This window comes from Homo sapiens, chromosome 1 (genome assembly GCF_000001405.40).
Source record: "Homo sapiens chromosome 1, GRCh38.p14 Primary Assembly".
Taxonomy (NCBI): Eukaryota; Metazoa; Chordata; class Mammalia; order Primates; family Hominidae; genus Homo; species Homo sapiens.
Genome location: NC_000001.11, coordinates 68110475 through 68130531, shown reverse-complemented (window position 1 = coordinate 68130531; position 20057 = coordinate 68110475). Strand labels below are relative to the sequence as shown.

The window sequence follows — 20057 nt, the reverse complement described above, 5'->3', positions numbered from 1 at the left end:
AGGTTGGTGTGGGCCTAGGGAAAATTCTACAAAAAAGGATAGGTCATGAATGTTCTGGAAAGAACATAAGCTTTGGAGGTAGACACAGATGGTTTGGAATCTTGGCTCCGGCACACATTGTGTATGACCTTGAGAACAAATATGAACTCATGGTATGGGAGCTCCCTGGCTTTCACACTTGGGCAGTGGGGTGTTAATTTGCATTGGTAGTGGTGAGGATGGAAGTACGTAGGCCTTATTAATATTAGAAGACCTCTAGTGGTACCTCCGATCTCTCCCGGAATCTGTAATACATCCTCAGAATGAGAGTAGCTGTTGTCATTTTTATTGAAGTGGGCACAGATACACAAACAATTGTCATTAAAATGCTGCCGGTCCTAAGAAGCTGTCTCCAGTGCATATGGCTTTCTTCATCCTCATTAGGCATTCCAGGCAGTTACAACCAAGCAGCCGCTTACACACCTGTGGATGTGACTCCACACATATGGATGCATTGCCGTAGTCCTTTGGGATGAAATCTGTGCCAGAGATTGGTCTCATTTCACAAGGTTAGGAAGAAATAGACCGTCATCTAATTGTTAATGAGCTGTGATGAATTTGACATCATAACCAGGGAGAGAAATTTACTGCAAACTAAAGCATTCTTTTCTTTTTTCTTTCTCACTCTTTTTCACCCCAAGACACATATCACATTTTCAGAAGGGTTTTTTCTTGTCTGAGATGGGAAGAGACTTTTGAGCATGTTTGTGCACTGAACAGCAGGAGCCAAGAGAGGGGGAAACTAACAGATGGAGCAAGACCTTGGCAGAAGTAGGAGGTGATGGAATTAGGAGGCAAGTGGAGGGATCTCCACTCGTGCTATGTTACTGCCACGTTCACACACCCATTCCCCAAGGGGGAACAGTTGGCCTTCAAGGTACAATAAAATCACATGTGAAACATAGATTTTGGTGCATGGAGTCCCATTATCTGGGTCCTCATCCAGCACAGTAGAGAAATTAATTATGCCACAGTAGCTTCACATCGTACAAGGAAATACAGGGCATGCTAAACCCCTAACAGTGCATATGGCCAATACTCATAAATTTATAACAGCTCTCCTGTCAGTGCACTGATTTATATGCTATAAATTTATCAGATACAAAAGCAAAGTAAATATGCTAAACAATTTATTCAAATTATTTTATGTGTAGTTTTTTGTTTTGTTTAGTTTTTGAGACACTCTCTCACCCAGGCTGGAGTGCAAGGGCACGATCTTGACTTAATGCAACCTCCGCCTTCCGGGTTCAAACCATTCTTCTGCCTGAGCCTACTGAGTAGCTGGGACTTACAGGCATGCGCCACCACACCCGGTTAATTTTTTTAATTTTAGTAGAGACAGGGTTTTGCCATGTTGACCAGGCTGGTTCAAACTCCTGACCTCAAGTGATCCGCCGCCGTCAGCCTCCCAAAGTGCCGGGATTACAGATGTGAGCCACCGCACCCGGCTGTATGCGGATATTTTTAGCTGTAATGCTGTGTGTGTGGACTTCATACCTCACTGGCAGTCTCACTGGCTGCTGGAAACTTGAATATTTAAGAAGAGGCAGCAGAACCCAAAAGTTGAGAGCCTGCATCCTGGCACCTATTTATTTGAATCCCACACACTATTTAGCAGCTTGGGCCTTGGGCAAGTTACTTAGCCTCTCTGTGCCTCAGTTTCTTCATCGGCAGAATGGGAGTGATGATAATAGTGCCTCTGAGGACTGCTATGAGAATTAAGTGCATTAATATTTGTACAGTATTTAGAACTGTGTCAGGCACGTGTTAAGCATTATGACATAGGTATCCATTTAAATAAAGAAGCCAAGGCAATTTTGGCTGTTTTTTCAAGTGATCTGTAGGATCATATGCATATTCTAAGATCTGCTAATTGGAGTCATATTTTAAGTTTAAAGAATTAACATCTTTGGTTCAAAGCCTGAGTAGAATTACTCTCTAGCATCTATTTCTAAGAAGTCCTCAGGGAAAGGGATTCCTTAGGTAAACGGTTATGAGTGCTAATGGGTCCACTGGGGTGGTCAGGACTCTTTGAAATTTTGATGACTCACACAGACATGCAGATCATGAAACTGGCTTTGAAGTTCTGATGGCTAGCCCAGATATGCAAATCCAGAAATAGCTTTGACTGAGAAATGTGAAGCTTAGACTGCTTGTGCTTGACTGAGGTGTGGACTAGATGTTGCAGCAGTGAGAATACAAGTTATTGGCCTGGGAGTAGTTGCTCACTGTACAAGTGGTGGTTCAGCTTGGCCCAAAGTAGCCCAGCTAAAGCCTCTCACCAGCCTTACTTGGCATCTATGCTCTGGCTTGAGGGCAGATGAATGTGGATGTGCTGGAGGCTGGACTGATGCCCCTTTAATGCCTTCTCTACCCATAGTCCTGTGGATTAGACCCTTGCCAAAACAGCCCCAAATGTCTTCAGCAGTCCTCTGCAGCAGCCAATGAGTCTGCTTCTGAGGCCAGGGAATCTCCTGGGTAGAGAGCTTACAGGGTGGCATTTAATAATAGGACTGATTTTGCTGTGCAGCCACAGAGAAATGGGTCTACGATGAGAAACTAATACTGCGTGGCACACGTGAAGGGAACCAGCCAAGCAGCCTGCTGGGCCAGTGGGTGGGAGTGACATCTGGGGTTCTAAGGCCACCAGATTCATTGATGCCTAGCAGTTCTTAAATTAGTGATAAGATTACTAGTCCTAAGGGTAGGGCCAAGGCTGCTTCTAAGTTATGGTATGGCATTTCAATGGAAAACAGCATTTAGTTACTTAATTCTATGCTTTAAATTAGAAAAACTTCAGTTCCAGAAAACTTATCATATGATATGTGCACAATATAAAAATCACTGACACAAGTTTAACTTTCTATTCCCCAGCACCCCTCTCCACAAACATGTGTGCACACGTGCACCCCCACACACAGTCAGACTGAGCGTGGTTGCGTTTTCCATTTTCCCTTTGTTGTTTATACATTCACTTGTCTTATGGCAGGTAGCAGAGTTTTCGAGGTTTAACTTAGAGAAAATTTTTTTCTCCTACTAATTTAGAAAAGTTCAAATTATTCCATTTTAGCAGAACACTGTCCACTGATAATGAGTTCAGAACACTTAGGACAATCCTGAGGGCAGAAGGAAATGCACAGCACGTTTCTGGCACTTCTTTTTTCCTGGAGAATAAAGCCCCTCATTGTTCCTAGATGTGTTAGACATGGCTCCTTCCCCAATCTATGGATAGATATAAGCAGGTCTTATTTGCTTTCACGTGACATAGATGCTTTGTAGTTTATTTTTTTATTTTTTTAGAGTCAAAGTCTTACTCTGTCACCCAGGCTGGAGTGAGTGGTGCAATCATAGCTCACTGCAGCCTAGAATTCCTGTGCTCCAGTGATCCTCCTGCCTCAGCCTCCTGAGTAGCTGAGGTTACAAGTGTGAGTTACTGCACGCAGGTAATTAAAACAAATTTTTTTTTTAGAGTCAGGGTCTCGCTCTGTTGCCAAGGCTGATCTTAAACTCCTGGCCACAAGCAGTCCTCCTACCCCTGCTTCTCGAGTAGCTGAGATTGCAGGCCTGAGCCACTGCACCTGGCTCCTATTTTGTAAATTATTCATAGCAAATGTGTTGGTGCCTGACTGACCCATCCGTTGGGAGGGGTGTTATGCTGGTTTAGCCCATCACATTGGTCTTGGCATCAGATGTTCCTTTGCCAGCTCTCTTGTGGGCCTGCTCCTCCACCCAGGACAATTACCTTGCCTACCTCCCAGCTTCCTCATCTGTAAGGCTGGCACGTTCATACTGCCTACTTCAGAGGGCTTCTGCGAGGATTAAAGAAGATCACTTACAAAGTGATTAGAATAGCGTCAGGCACAAAGTAAATGCTCATTAAATGTTAATGATTACTATGAATAATATCAGCAGTGAGCTGACTCACGTATCTTAATGACTGTCATCTAGGAGCCAAAAATGGTATTTTAAAAAGTTCTGCAAAGTCCAAGTGAACAGGTTTGGAGTTAGTCCTTGTTCTGAATGTTGTGTGCCCTAGGTGTCTCTGTGTGCTCAGAATGTCAAAGAGGGCTAGCATCAGGGCAGTTGTCCATGAGATGAACCCCAGCTTGCTTCTCCTTCCTCCTTGAATGCATCTAACACCGAAAACCCTGTTTCAGGCGATCTGGGTGTCCATAGTGGGGAAGAACTCCAGCTCACCACCACTATCACCCATGTGGACGGACCCACTGAGATCTACAAGTTGACCCGCAAGGAGGCCCAGGAGTAGGAGGCTGCAGCGCCCGGCTGGGACGGTCTCTCCATACCCCAGCCCCTCTAACTAGAGTGGGGAGCATGCCAGAGAGAGCTCAATGTACAAATGAATGCCTCATGGCTCTTAGCTGTGGTTTCTTGGACCAGCGGCATGGACATTTGTCAGTTTGCCTTCTGACGGTAGCTTTTGGAGGAAGATTCCTGCAGCCACTAATGCATTGTGTATGATAACAAAAACTCTGGTATGACACATTTTCTGTGATCATTGTTAATTAGTGACATAGTAACATCTGTAGCAGCTGGTTAGTAAACCTCATGTGGGGGTGGGGTGGGGGTGTATTCCTTGGGGGATGGTTTGGGCCGAATGGGGAGTGGAATATTTGACATTTTTCCTGTTTTAAATTCTAGGATAGATTTTAACATCCTTTGCGGTCCCAGTCCAAGGTAGGCTGGTGTCATAGTCTTCTCACTCCTAATCCATGACCACTGTTTTTTTCCTATTTATATCACCAGGTAGCCCACTGAGTTAATATTTAAGTTGTCAATAGATAAGTGTCCCTGTTTTGTGGCATAATATAACTGAATTTCATGAGAAGATTTATTCCACCAGGGGTATTTCAGCTTTGAAACCAAATCTGTGTATCTAATACTAACCAATCTGTTGGATGTGGGTTTTAAAAAATGTTTGCTAAACTACCCAAGTAAGATTTACTGTATTAAATGGCCTTCGGGTCTGAAAAGCTTTTTTAACTTCTTGCTTAAAATGCGTTTTATTTTGATAAGATACTTCAAATAGCCTCCAAAAGTGTAGATCCAATCATTTAAATAAACCTGTATGTATATGCATATGTGTACATGCATATCCCCTCCTGCTAAAACTCATACACATGCGTGCAGATTATTTTCCAGGTTGAACCTAGAGGTGGGGAGTTGATGGGGGAAATAGGTTTCTGAAAAACTGATATACTTTATCATCAAATCAAAGTGTTTGGGGATAATACCTATTCCTGGAGAAAGAGTGACATTTTCTGTCCTGTGTGGTTAGCCTCCCTAGGCTGGCAAGGGATGCTCATATGCGTGACAACAAAGGTGGGGAGAACATCACGTGCTTTAGAAGCAGAGCCGTCCTCTGCCCTATTCAGACTTTCCCCAATAGCCTTTTTCGTTGTATTTTAACACTTGCACTGGAGATAGCCGAGAGAAGGAACACTGTTTCCTGTTGAAGGTCTGTGATTTACATCTGACCTGGCTATTTCCTCACTTATATCGATAAACTTTAACTGCTTACTGGGGTCACAGTGAAAATTTCAATCAGTTCATATATATGGAAGTGTTTTATGAACAGCAAGCCACATAAATGTGTTTTTCCTGGAGTCTAAAACCAGTTTCATGAGTAACTTGTTTTTCAGACACTGAGGTCTGGAGGTCTGGGGCACAGTCCATGTAATTCACCACTCAGCACCCCTAGCCTGCCTTTTCCTGACTTTGGCTTAAAGCGTGGTAAGCAGTGACAGTAGAAAATGCTTTGACTTTGGCTATTCTCTCTAGGCCTTTTCCTAACCTGGTGGACATTGGGATGGTGTACGATCCTGTGCACTCAATATCCACTTACCAATCAACCACTGCAGTGCCAGGAATCAAAGGGAGCCGTGCCTCCCAGTCCAGCAGGGAACTCCTGTCCCAGAAGATAGAGGGAACGTTTCTCTATCCCCTGGGTTAGGAAAAGGACTTTAGATAGACCTTAAAGGAGAAAGATTTTACCAGAGCCAACGGGCAAAGGGATCAGCAGTACAAAAATCATAGAAGAAAGATGCAAAGCATGGACAATGTTTGGATAAGGTCGGCGATCAGGCCTGGCTGGCACATAGGAATGGAAATAGCAGATGATGAGCCCTGTGCACCTGTGAGCCAGATGGAGAAGGGTTTTTAATGCTGTGGTAAGAGTTACAAGACTTAGCCTCAGATATTAGGCAGAAAAGTGATACGATCAGAATGATCACTGGAGCCTGGAGAGGCTGGACAAGCCCAGAAAAGAGATCACAGAGACTGGAACCAGGACAGTAGCAGAGGACTTGGAGGAGAGGATTATTTTGGAGATAAAATGCACAAGGTTTGAATGTTCTGGATGTGGGTTGCACAGAAAGATCGATCAGAGTCAAATTTCAAGCCCTCGCTGGGGAAGGGAATGGGTGGGGTTTCGGACAGAGAGAGAGATTCTTGGATGACAAATGTCAGTGGATTCACTACTTAAAGTTTTCTAAGTAGGAGCCAACTCTAGCAAGCTTAGCTAAGAGACAGACTGTACTAGAACTTTCCTAGCATATATGAGAGATCCATGGAAGAGTTGAATTAACCAGGAAGATGGGAAGTGGGGCAGCTCTAAGGGCCCCTAGCACCAGGAATCCATGCACCTTTCTCTCAGAGCAGTACCATTCACTACTGAGTCTTTATCCAGTTCTTGTTTCTCTCACTTAAAAACAGGAGTCTTAGGCAGGTGGCTGTCCCTGTGCCAGTCACCTGTGACCAGGAAGTCAGGTCAAATGGCTGCTTGGGGCCTACCTTATAGATCGGTGTCCATCTCCAAAGAATGGAGAATCCATTTTGAATTGGGCAAACAATCAGAAAAGATCTAGCACAGTGGGCAAGATGATGAGTTTGGGTTTGCCTGGGCTAGGTTTTAAAAGCCATCTCTTTGAGGAAATGAGCTAACAATTAGAACTGAGGGGTCCAGCAGATTGGGCAGCCACCACCATTGAGAGGAAGAAGGACAACTGGGCAGAGCAGTAAAACATCAAGCAGATGACCACCAAGAGTGGTGAGCCAGACATGGCCATATTCTATAGGAAAGGGGAAGAAGATAAGGTGGATAAATCAGAGAAATGTGGGGTTTCAAAGAAAGAACCAGATTCATAAGGAAAAAAGACGAAAGAAACAACGTTAGATGTCCTCAGAGGTTCAGCAGCATTTAAGGATCCAAGTCTCTTGGATTTGGTGGTTTGGATGTGTGTAACCTTCTTAAGTGGCAAGGGCAGAAGGTAGACAGAGAAGTGTAGCAGAGTCAGTGGGCAATTGTGGTGGGAAGGAAGGAGGTAAAATGGTTGCTCCGAGAAGAGCCAGAGTAAAATGGAGACTTGTGTTTTTTAGTCCGCAGGGAAGTGAACTAAGTTTGTAAACCTGAAGGGTGAGATCCAGCCATGAAGGAAAGATGTTGAGGAGCTAATGTAAGCCACAAGCCAAATCAGAGTTTTGGGACCAAGAGTACAAGTTGATGAGTTAGCATCGAAGGAGTGAAAAGACACTTTCATCCTGAGACAGGAGAGAAATAACAAATAGACAGTGGAGGAGAAACTTGAGGTCCAGAGGAGAGGGGTTGCAGTATGTCCCCTGGCTGTTCTGCCTTCTCCACCGATGTGTAGTGGGTGTTGGAGTTTCACTAAAGAAGTCTCCATTTCAAGAATGCAGGTTGGATGCAACCCATTTCAATCAGTGGAAAGAGAAGTGGAAACTCAAGAGGTGAGAAAATGCTTTTAGTAAGGACCATCAACCTAGAGAAAAAATTTATTATTGGCCATGTATACCAGTTTTATACATTGTCATAATAAACATTTTTCAAGCAGCTTTAAAGGATATTATAGGAAAAAAGTATATAATTTTACAGATGTCTGTTTTTAAAAAATAAGAAAGTTTACCAATACTTACAACAAACAAATAAAATGCAATTGCTATATCAAACTGAAAACAAAATCAGTTTTATGTTGGTTATCCCAGTGGATTTTCACTATGTATTGTTCCTACAAGAAAATGTCCATAGTAATGAAATAAGTGATTCCACGTGTGACTGCCCAAGGGTGGTTTTAACCATTTCTCAGAACTGAGATAAAGCTCTAACAATTCTGATGCCTGAGTTCAGCCTATAATCTCATAGCTGATCGGGCCCTTGGAACTCATACCCCTGGGGTCCAAGCAGGTAACTTTGAGAAGTTCAAGAGAAATGTCAGGGGAGGTTGGAGGACCTCCCAGTGTTCACATGGTAGTGGCCACACCCTGGTCTTGGGTCTCATCCTCACCTTGTCAGTTCTAGAAACTATATTTTATCTACTCTTTCAAATTGAATCAGGCTTCCAAAGGCTGAATGGTAACATTGGGGAATCTATAAACTAGAATTTCTGTGTGATCTTTTACAGTAAAGAATGCATATATCTTATGGCTCCATCATCGTAGACTTCCTTCCTTCCTATTTTCAGGTAACCATGGAGGCTAAAAGAGGAAATAGAAGGTTTTTGGTGGACAAGGAATAAATTCACAGAGAAACTGCTGTCCTTGGAAGAGATAATGGCCTAACCCTGTGCCTCCAAAGAAAATATACACAGCTCCCTAAAAAGTGCCTAGCATAGTGTGGGAATTCAATCAGGAAGAGTCGGTGAGAGAGTGAACACACTTGACTAATCCCCATCTCTCTCTGCTGCGTGACCCTGAGTTATTTGGGACCCATCTTCTTGATTCAAGCTGACTCATCAGGATGTCAGTGCAGTTGGTCAGGCTCAATTTGCTGGTGTGTCCAGACATTCATGAGCCTGTACTTTGTCTTCTGTATTTCAAGGTCCTTTTTATCCTGTAGTGCTCCGGGAACCATCTGACTTCTGCAGGCTGTCTCTCCATCATGTTTTGATACGTGATTGATTTTGTTGCATGGGGATAACTTGGTTTCTGAGATGACATTAGCAGCCCCTTTTCTGCTGACATCGGGGGGCCTTCTAAGCATGTCTTGAAGTGTTCAGAGCTTCCTGTCTCCTGTGACAACACACTGATCTCTCAGGGAACAATGCCCTTCACTATTGAGACCAGACCTTTCCTTTGTGACTTTTCCTTATTTGGATTGATGGAACCCCTTTTTGTAGGGCCTGCCCCACTCAAGTCTTCCCTACCCCAGGCTCAGCATCTCAGCTCCTGAACCCCTCCTCCAGACATGGTTTCTAGAAAGTTCTCCCATTACTACTTACCTGTTAACTGCATCCTAGCTTCTCAGGGTTCCAAAATATGATGTTCAGATGGCAGGACTGCTCCAGCTGGCACAGATTAGTGTGAAAATGTCCCTTCCTGTACTAGGGCTTGATGTCCTAGGAAAATGGTACAGGATTTTTAAAAATACTCACTTCTTACTTTTTTGCTTCTCATGACCAAGCAACCACTAAATACTTAGTTTTAAAAATTTGTATTACCAATACCTTCTCTGTATTCAGCAATATTTTTGACTTAATGGTAGAACTTTACATATATCCCTGTTATGTATATTTTTTCCCATACACCAGTTAGGTTAAGGGACATCTTTAGCTTTTAAAAAAGTACAGTTCGAAATATAAAGTAAAAGCAGTTAAGTCTTTTCCAAGTACAAAGTGAATTGGTTCCAATTGCTAGAGAATTTACAAATATATATTCACCTGAGGCCAGAAAAAGCTCCTTTGGCCTAGGCCTCTCTCCTTTATCAAGCTCTCTCCATCACGAGTGTGCACATGTGCGCGCGCGCACACACACACACACACACACACAGAACTTAACAGCAGTGATGTGTGTTGTAATATGCAACTTTGTAAGTTACATATCACTCCCCAATACCACCTTCTCAGTCACGGAGTAGAGATCTTACTTCACAAGAAGTGAGACTCAGAGAGGTGAAGTGACCTGTGCAAGGTCACCTATTACAGTGCCAGAGTTGGAACTAAAGGAACTTCAGTCTGTGAACTTCAGTGTCTTTCCAGTAGCATATTTGCAGCAGAAGAGTCAAGAATGTTGTGAGCTGCAACTCTCACTAGAACCAAATGACCTTATTGGGAGATGTTAGTCCAGCCTTAAAAACAAGCTCTTCACCTCCATGAATGGCAAGTGTCTGCCCTCTTCAGGCCAAATCGAGAATGACATCTATAACTGAGCAAATCCTCAGAACCCAAGTCAGACCTTGGATTATTGCTTTTCAGTAAGTTCTGGTCCTGGCTGTGTCTCTAACTCTTGCTGTGGGACCCTCAGGGAAGCTACCCACCCCCTTCACCCCACCTGAATGAGATGATTTCTGAAGTCCTCAGCAGCCCTGATTCTAAGCCTCATAAGGAAGAGTAGGTGTTAATGGCATCCTAGGGCAATGGTAGGCGCCTGATGCAGATCTGCTGTGAGCCATGTGCTGGCATCACAGGGGTGGTTTATTAATTTCATTTATCATCTGGACAGCCCCTTCTTATAACGTACATCCTTGCCTCTTCTGAGGCTCTAAGATCCCCAAGGTGGCTCCTGTATCCAGAAACCCCTTGGCCTTCCCTCCCAGTTAAGCAAGATCTCTCTTCAACTCAGGGATGCTGAGAGATTGAAAGTGAACTACACACAGGAACAGCCAAGATAGGAGTTATTTCTATAGCACCATGCTTGGCTGATGTTCTTTACACGGAGTGGGCAGGATTTTTAAAACAGCGTTTGTGCCTTTTAGCCTGGGCTCCTCCTAAAAGCAGACTCTGGGACAAGGATTTGTGTGCAAGTAGCTGGCTTGAAAGGTGATTCCAGGAAGCACTGAGGTGGCATGGAGAAGCAAGGCTGAGAAGAAGGGAATGCAAAGAACAGCCACCAAGGTGCACGGCCAGGGCCTCTGTCAAGCTGTGAGGAACATGCTGCAGAGTTGTCCCCTGGGGCTGAGGAAGCTGTGAGAGAGAGCCACTCCACTCCCATCCTTTGTAGGTAGAGGGCCACCGCCAGGCTCTTAGCTACTTGGAACTAGGGCCAGCTTGAGGAATATGGGTGAGGCACCCATGGCCTCTGCTACATTGTTTTTAATCCAGTCTCAAAAACAAAATGGTCCTATCACAGAAACTCTGCAAAAATACATGAAAGAGTAAAGAAAAACATGTAAACATTTTACAATTACTCTATCCAAAGATAAATACTGTTAAAATGTCAGTATGTTCTTACACAAGTTTTTCCATGCATATATGTGTAGATTTATATACATTAAGATTGTATTATACATAGAAAATAAATTTCTGGACAGTTATATAACCTGCCCTTTTCAAAATATATCTAGGAAATCTTTCTATGTTATTGTGTTGTCTTCTATAACATGATTTTCATGACTTTACTATTATAGTCTCTAAAAAGGATGGTTCATAATTTTTACTGGACATTTCAGTGGTTTGCAAAGTTTGACTATTACAATATATGTTGAAATGAGCATCCTTGGATATAAATCTTTTTTGTACATCACTGATTGTTGCCTTAGTATCAATTCCTAAGAACTACTGGGTTAAAGATCAATTATTCATTCAATAAGCATATGTTGAACATCTAATATTGGGCCAGGTGCTTTTTTTTTTTTTTTTTTTTTTTTTTTGAGACAGAGTCTTGCTCGTCACCCAGGCTGGAATGCAGTGGCGTGATCTCGGCTCACTACAATCTCCACCTCCTGGGTTCAAAGTGATTCTCCTGCCTTAGCCTCCTGAGTAGCCTGGGATTACAGGCATCTGCCACCACGCCCAGCTAATTTTTTGTATTTTTAGTAGAGATGGGGTTTCACCATGTTGGCCAGGCTGGTCTCGAACTCCTGACCTTGTGATTTGCCCGTCTTGGCTTCCCAAAGTGTTGGGATTACAGGCGTGAGCCACCACAACCAGCCGGGCCAGGTGCTATTGTAAGCATTTGGGGCAGATCAGTAAACAATATCCCTATCATTGTGAAGTATATTGGTGTGGTAAAGGAAGGCGGGAGGGAGGAGGCAATAGATAGTAAGGTGATAGCGATGAAGGCTACACAGAAAAGCATTTATCATGGACACCTGTAAGCATACAGAGCCCTCCAGAACTGTGCCAACAGCAGAATGAGAGAGGCTGTGGCCCGCATCCTCACTGACACTACGTAGTTTTGAAATTTGCAACTTCAAGATGCAGAAATTGAATTTTGCATTTACTTCATTACCAGTAACACTGAGCATGTTTCATGTTCCTATGACTTGATATTTTTAGGTTGTCAGTTCAGATTCTTTATCCATTTTCTTGAGAGTCTGATTTAGTATATTTATCTTTTGTCTGTTACACGGGTAGCTCAACTTTTCTCCATTTGTCACTAGCTTTTATTTTGATTTGGATGTTTACCAGGATATAGAGCTTTTTTCTATGTAGTCAACCTGTACATTTTTTCTTTTATAGTTTCTAGTTTTGCTTTCATGCTTAAAGAAATATCCCCTAAGATAATAGGTCACCCACATTTTTTCTAGTTTTAAAAATTCTGTTTTTTTTTTCTCATCAATTCATATAGAATTTGTTTCCCAGCTGGAAGACCAATTAAATATTTTTTCCAGACAGTTATCCTAGCATGATTTTTTGGATCATAATTGGGAAGGACAGGATCTAGCAAGCTGGGGAGATCATGTCATTGGGTTACCCCCGGAGCAGTGGTGAGGCTTGGGTGTCAGAGCCATCCCATCCACAAGTGGTGCCAGAAGGCACCAACAAGACCCAGAAGCTCCCCGGGAACTCACCTCCGACTGCCAGTGAGGGTCCTGTCTGTGACAAAGAAATGTGCCATCGGGGGAAGATAAGCGTCCACTGCAGCACAGAGGAAACACGAGAGCTGCAGGCACGGGCTCAGTGAGCCGAGGAAGTCAGTGGCAGTGGCCGCCTGGCCAGGGTCCCTGGAGCTCCCAGGAAGCTGCCCTCCAAAGCAGTCTGCTCCTCTGTGCCACAGTGCAGAGGAAAGGTGTCTGGGGCCAGAAGCTGATGGCCGTATTGACTGGATGACAAACAGGGACCACACGAGCCTCCTGTTGGCAAAAGAGAACATGTGTGATGAGGCTGTATAATGGACAGCAGAAGGCCTTGGCTAGGGCTCTAACGTTACCCCTAATTGCTGTGTGTTCTTGGCCAAGCTATAGTACCTCTCTGGGTCTAGTTATCAAATTACATGTTGTTTAAAAAATTATACTAGGTTTAGCAGCATTCATTGGTTGGGAAGAATACTGTATAAGGATCCACTCTAGATGTCATGGTTTGCAGTACAAGCTGCAATTGTACAGATAAAGTTTGGGAGTGTGTACAGTATACTAGCTTGATGCAGAGGAGTGAGTGTGGGGGCAGGGGGAAATATGATTAGAGAAAACGGAGAAAGGAGGAAAAGCAGGGATAGAGGGAGGGAGGGAGGAAGGAAATTGAAAGTAAGTTGAGAAGAAATGGAACCAAGATTTTTTGTGAGTTGAATGCCTGACAATCATTCTAACCTGCACAAAGGTGAGTGGGAGGGGTCGGGGCCAGTCGTACAGGTTCATGGCAACCTTTTATTTCCCTAACTGGCTCAGGAGGGACAGTTCTGTTAGCCTTCAAAATTAAAACCACCCTTGTCCACAATTAATCAGTCCACAGCTATTTGCTGCCCTCTGCTGGCCAAGATAAACAATGGCTGCATTGCAAAAGAGTTTTTATCTTGAAAGAAATAGATTCATTCACCCAACAACTGTTTATAGAGCCCCTATTAAGTACCAGGCACTGTTCTAACACAGACCAATAACCAACATAGACAAAGACTCCTGCCTTCATGAGGCTTAACAACAATTAAAATATCTAGCATGTAGAATCCCTGCTATGGATGTGCCAGGTAGGATTTTAATCACTTGATATTTATCAACTTCTTTAATCCTTAAATGAATCCTATGAGGTAGGCACAATTGTTGGCACAGAGAGCTTGGGTGATTTCCCTAAGGTCACACAGCTAGGAAGTAACAGCCTGGTTCAACTCAGCCAATTTAGCTCCTGCTGCGCCTGTCACCAATGAGTTCTGATAGATGCATTGCCCTTCCTGCCCAAAATTTTGTATAGACGGAGCCATTATTAGATGGAAAAGCAAAAACACTGATCTTCTGGCTCAGCCACTGTGTGACCGTGAGCCTGGCCTTACCCCGTGTGGTTGTCAGAGGAGTCATCCATAAGAAGTGTATGCTTACACGGGCCCTGCTGATTGTTGTCCCTGTCCTCTTCCTCCCTCCCTGATGCTGGCCCTGGGTACAGGAGGGTCAAGGAAGCCAAAGGCGGCCTGAATCTCCGAGCTGCTGCTCCTGGTCCCTATTGTAAGGTCCTGTGAACCCTGCTTCTCCAGCTCAGCATTAATGGGGAGGGAGCAACCTGGAAGTTAATGAAGAAATGAGGGACTTCCCTGTTAGGGTGAGTGCTCTGGGACAAAGGGACAACCTACAGCAAGAGGAATTCAGGACAGCTGCAGGGGAGAGCTGGAAGCTCCCGACCAGGAGGTGCAGAGCTTGCCAGCCTCCAGGGTGAGACATACAAAAATGCCAACGACTGCTGCCAGGAGGGAGAGGGTGGAAGACTAGTGGAATAGAGCAGCAAGGGGGTCCTTGGAATTGCTTAGAAGCCCTTGATTGCTATTTGTTAATTTAAAACAAAAAAAAATTATGCCTAACCTCATACAAAAATTTTAACTTTATAAGAAGAGAAAAACATATTTTAAAGTCTCATTTGAAAATGCCTTCAGAAATTTGTTGATGTTTTTAAAAAGCAAATTTTAAAAAGTATTCCCCCCTCATAACAAATGTCCAAGCAACAACAAGAGTAATAGCGGCTCTTTACAAAGCACTGATAATGTGCTGGCACCTCACAGTAGTCCCATGATATAGGTACTTTCATTTATACCAATTACCAATGAGCATGCTGGAGCTCAGAGAGGTTGAGTGACTTGCCCTGTGTCACACAGCCAGCACTCAAGGCTGTGCCCGACTGACTTCATTATCACCACCCTATACTTTGTCTCAAAGGGAGGGAATGTTAAACTGAATGAATTGGCTCTAGGCCCCAGGGACTGCCTCGTGAAGAATGGCGAATTCCTAGTGTCATCCCAAGAAGCAGGGGCAATTTATCCTTGGGTTTGTCTGACCACACAGCAGAGGTTCCAGCTTCATTACTGGGGTTCTAGGCATGTGTGTTGGTGCAATCTGGAAGCAACAGATCTTCTTCGTGTCCCTGAGAGGGAGAGGGTTAAGCCACCTCTTGCATGATCTGGATTTGCCAGCCTGGAGCAGCCATAACCCTAAGGAGCCCCAGAGGGACCTCCTGAAAAGCAGTCATTGAGTTGAAACCCAAGGTGCAACCCATGACCGGGTGTGGTGGGGGGTGTATCATTATTTTCAAAGACTGAGACCCAGGGAAAGGCCTGTCACAGGCCACACAGTGGCTGCAGACCAGCATTATGAGAAGATCCCAGGCCTTATAATCCAAGCTTAGTCCTACCTGCAGTCCAGCACTGTGCTGAGCCTTCTACGACTGCCCCAGAGCAAACCAGGTGTCCCCTCCCAGGCCTACCACTGAGGTCACTCCAGCCTATACCTGCCCAATTAGGGCTGCTTCACACCTAAGTGGCACCCCCAGAGGGGGTTCTCTGTTCTTGCTTTACCCTATTCCAGAAGGAATAAGCCCATAGTATGATAACTGGCAGTTTTGCTAAGGCACAAATATGAATCTTGCCCACTTCTGGGACGGGGCTCTGAGCAAGTCTCTCAGCCTTCAGGGGCTGGCTCGAGGGATAAAGGGGACCAGTGGTCACTCCATCATCTGGCCAGTTTAGTCTGCACCAGTCAGATGCCTGTCACCTAGGTCTCAGAAGTCACATTTAGCATGAAACGGATTAAAACGAGGAGCCAGCTCTGTGCCTCAATTTCTTCATCTGCAGAAATGAGGATTATACCACTTAGCATTGCTGTTGGGAACATATGAATTAGGACAGTGCTTGGCATATAGTAAGTTTTAAAAAGGTATCTATCATTGTCTTTGCCATCATCATCATCATTATAGATTCTTGACACCTGTGGAATATATATAGCCCATGAAATGACAAATAAGGAATGCTTATATTGGCTCCTAAATTTCTCCAAATGACATATTTCAGCTATAGAATCCAGTGTTTTCTGTATATATCCTCCTTATGCCACAAGTTAACCAGTAGCTGGCAGTCTCCGAGTCCCTCTATCTTTCCAGCCTTCTGATCCTCACCCTATCCCAAGCTGAGACCTTGGCCCAGAGCCTCAGCCTGGCAGTAGGCATGATTCAGATTTGTTCCTCAGCAAAACTGCCAGTTATCACCCCATGGGCTCACTCCATCTGCAGTCATTGAAGCCAAGAAAGTTGAATCCGGGAATGCCAGAAGGTCCACTACTGGTTTCTCAAGGTGTGTTTCACAGGATGCTGGTTCTGTTGAGTGATTACAGTCGGTGATTTGTTGTTGAGCCATCAAATACAGTTGAGTAGCATTGGATTTTTAAGCATGTTTCTTTCTGAGGAGATCTCAGTCTTGAACACGCCACCTTTCTAAATCTGAGGCATGGGATGTACTCTTTCTCAAATGCACATTATCGTTCTGCTCCCTTTCACTGTAGGACAGCTTGTGGGATTTGCTGTCCTGTAGCAAGGCTTTTCAAGCCTTTCCCTGCGGACAGTTCACCTGGGAGCATATTGTAAAGTGCAGTTTCTTACTCAGAAGGGCTTGGGAAGGGCCTGAGACGATGCATTTCTAACATGCTCCCTGGAGGTGCTGATGCAGCTGCTCCACACACCAGACTTGAACAGTGAGGCTTGCGGCAATATTTCTAAGAGATGTGTCTGCCACGTCCCCTACCCAAGGGGGTCCCATGCCATCCCTTTTACAGCCCTAACACCTGCCAAAGTGCTTGGATCATATGAAAAACAGACTTGGCCAGGAGCTGAAGTGGAGGCTCATAAGGGCAGAATTTCTGTCTGTTTTGTTCTCAGGTATATTTCCAGAAACTAGAACTGTGCCTGGAACACAGAGTGGCTCAGTAATTACCTGGGGAATGAGTAGATTACTAGGGTCATTCAGCAAAGAGATGCCCTTTTCCAGGAATTTTCTGGCATTCACTGTTCTGAGTGGTGGTAGATTTGAGTCCAGGGCTTCTGCAAACTCACCAAAGGTCCTTTGCATCCAAAGCATCTCTTTCTCAAACTCATAAATCTGACTCAACAACCTATCTATAAGGCCTCCACCTATAAGGATACGGATATTTTTACGGACATGCGAGGTTGGATGACTCAGGATATGAGTAAGCCCAGAGCTTCAGCCAATATGGTCTCAGAGTGACAGATGGAGAGAGAAGGCTTCCTGTGGTGGGACTAAGGAGCATGGGCCTCAGGCTGACCAGCGTCCCCAGAATGAAGGGCTTTCTTTAAGATGGGGCCAAGGCGTTCCAAGCCAAGTTCGTGGGCAGCTAACTAAATGAGGTTCATGGATTTGGCCTCAACCTTGTTCTGACGCTCTCACTGCCAACCTAGGCAGGGAGCCAAATTCCTTGCTCTTTAACAGTTTGTCTGTTTGTTTTGGTCCAAGAGGCCAGGAAGAGAAGATATTTGTTTCCATGGTAATTGCTTGGAATGATTCTTAAGTAGAGGAGCCTGAAGGGCAAGTCTTCTCATTAGGTTTCCACCTTCAAGGAACTTAAAATCTTCTTAACAATCAAGGTTCCCAATACATGAACCGTGCAGTCGGTGACCAATGGGAGGTACAAGGACACTTTTCAGTAACTCCTGATTGGGGGCAATTGAGAGGGCTTCCCAGAAGACTGAAAATGAGCCGAGCCTTGAAAGAGTTGGATAAAAGGTGAGGGTAAGGGAAGAGTATGAGAGTGTGGAGATGCAACTTCACAAGCATTATTTGGGTGGCAATGACTAAAGTAGCCTGTTTAGCAGAGAGTCTGGGGTGCAGTGAGTAGAAAAGCAACTTGGAACCGGAGTGTACACAGCATTGAATGTCAGGCCGTGGAGGCTGGACACCTGGGCCCATTCTTTAGAACTAGAGCGTGAGAAGTAGGTGGGACCCACACATTTTGCTTTTGGGTTCAGGCAACCATGGGGAGACAGCCTCCTGAATGAAGCCAAGAGGAGACTGCTGAATTGGTAGAGAATGAGAGGGTCCAGCCAGTAGGTACTGTTGTACAGCTAGTGCACTGCATAAGAGCACCTGGCCAGGAGAGCAAGTAAGGACAGAAATACAGTTGTCACTCCTCTCATCAATCTATGCACCCTAGCATGGGCTGCCTTCTCCCAGAGGGACTTCTTCTCTGTCCACAAAGACATCTGCACAGGCTGGCGCTGACCCAGTTGGCTCAAGCCACAGCCAGCGAATGTTTTCTCCTTGTGGCCAAGGCATTTTCTTAGAGCAATGAATACTGTACATTCCCAGAGTGTCCCAAGGAGGGCACTGCTTAGCTTTGAACAGAACGATAAAGCACTGCATGCACGGTTCTGAGAATGCAGTTAGTACCAGAGCAAGCCAGTTTTCTGCTCCTGCTGGCTGTCAGAACAAGGGAGCAAATGGTTGGTAATAGTACACTTCAATTGAATTCAACTAAATCTTCTTCTGGCAAGGAGGGGCAGCCCCCCAAGCAGGACATACACCAGAACAGAGCATCTCATCTGCAGCCCTAAAGATCCTAAAGTTTGGACAGCAGCCATCTGACCTGTGGGTTTGGGTGGAGACCTGCATGCTTCATAAAGTATCCAAATGTTTCCCGACCCACCAGCAAACATCATGTATGTGTAGAGAGATGTAAAGGGCTCGTTCAAAGGACTGTTATAGAGAGGATGTTTCTCAATAGGGGCACACTGGCATTTAGGGTGCAACTGTCTCACACATTGGAGGATATTTAGCCAGCAGGGTCCCCCAGTCCTTGTGACAACCAAAAAAATCCCTCCTCCGTGTTTAAATGCTGCATTGGAAAGGTTGAATCCAAATGAGAACCGAGCAGCCCTTCTCTCTACAGAAAAGACAGCAGGCCCGGTGATTTGGCCAAGACCACAAGGCTGGGGAAGAAAAAACAAGAATTAGTACCCAGGTTGCCCACTCCTTACCACTTGTCACCAGCTTCTCCCACCAGTGTGGTCCTTCTTTCTCCCAGCCTTAGTTATTCTCTAGGTTTCTGCATTGAAACCACAGAACATGCTAGAACCAAGTGATGTAGTTCATCTATGGTCCCCAAAGGCTTATATAAAGCTGTCTTAGCTCAGGCTACTATAACAAAAATACTATAGATGGAGTGGCTTAAACAACAGACATTTACTTCCTACTATTCAGGAGGCTGGAAGTCTTAAGACCACGGTCAAGATTAATCTAGATATGAATTCCTTATGTTTTCATTTATGGTATCTTTGATGATTTGTGTAGTTGATTTACCAATGTTTTCTTTTTTAATGGGTACTTGTGTCTTTCAAAAAAATTCTTTAAATAAATTTCAAGATTATAAAAATATTCTAAATTTCTTCAAAAAGTTTTAAGACTTTGCCTTCCATATTTAAGATTCTGTTCCATCAAAAATTAATTTTTGTATGTAAGAGAATAAGGAGCCTCTTTAATTTTTTTCCTATATGGATAACTAATGCTCTCAGCACCATTTATTGAATAAGCCACTCATGATCTACAACACAATATCCTTTATCGAGCAAATATATATATATATACACACATATATATACAAACATATATATACATACACATACACACACATATATATATGGAGAGAGAGAGAGAGAGAGAGAGAGAGAGAGAGACAGAGATTTTTGGGGGCTTCTTAGTCTGTTCCACTGGCTAATTTGATTATCCTTACCTCAAAACCATACTGTTTTAATTACTTTAGCTTTTTAATAAGGCTTGCAATCTAGAAAAGCACATTCCTTCATCCTGTTTGTCCTCAGAATGTCTTGGCTCTTCTTGGACATTTGGTTTTTTATTTA

The 20057-nt window shown here is 44.1% G+C and overlaps 1 protein-coding gene and 1 long non-coding RNA gene across 5 annotated transcripts in view, besides 1 other annotated feature; one reads left to right on the top strand and one right to left on the bottom strand.

Moving 5' to 3' along the window:
* The window catches only part of GNG12-AS1 (GNG12, DIRAS3 and WLS antisense RNA 1), a 370700-nt gene that overhangs the window by 72456 nt on the left and 278187 nt on the right, over positions 1–20057 (bottom strand). The window contains exons 7-8 of the long non-coding RNA NR_040077.1: positions 12800–13081; positions 9291–9407 (exon numbers count right to left, since the gene is read on the bottom strand). This is a non-coding gene — a long non-coding RNA (GNG12, DIRAS3 and WLS antisense RNA 1). The remainder of the gene's footprint in view (positions 1–9290; positions 9408–12799; positions 13082–20057) is intronic.
* WLS (Wnt ligand secretion mediator) overlaps positions 1–20057 on the top strand; it is a 134088-nt gene that overhangs the window by 102015 nt on the left and 12016 nt on the right. The window contains exon 11 of one of the 4 annotated variants that reach the window (NM_001193334.1): positions 4197–5174. The exons of 2 other annotated variants lie outside the window; for them this stretch is intronic. In NM_001193334.1, coding sequence (NP_001180263.1) covers positions 4197–4306 — 110 coding nt within the window. In that variant the 3' untranslated portion in view covers positions 4307–5174. Of the gene's footprint in view, positions 1–4196; positions 5175–20057 lie in introns of those variants that run through there. One more of the 4 variants, NM_024911.7, reaches the window with a different exon arrangement.
* Positions 13572–13866: a silencer, noted in NCBI's record as "tiled region #5584; HepG2 Repressive non-DNase unmatched - State 4:PromP". NCBI's record gives its function as "represses a minimal TATA promoter and a strong SV40 promoter by Sharpr-MPRA in HepG2 cells {active_cell/tissue: HepG2}" and the evidence as "EXISTENCE:reporter gene assay evidence [ECO:0000049][PMID:27701403]".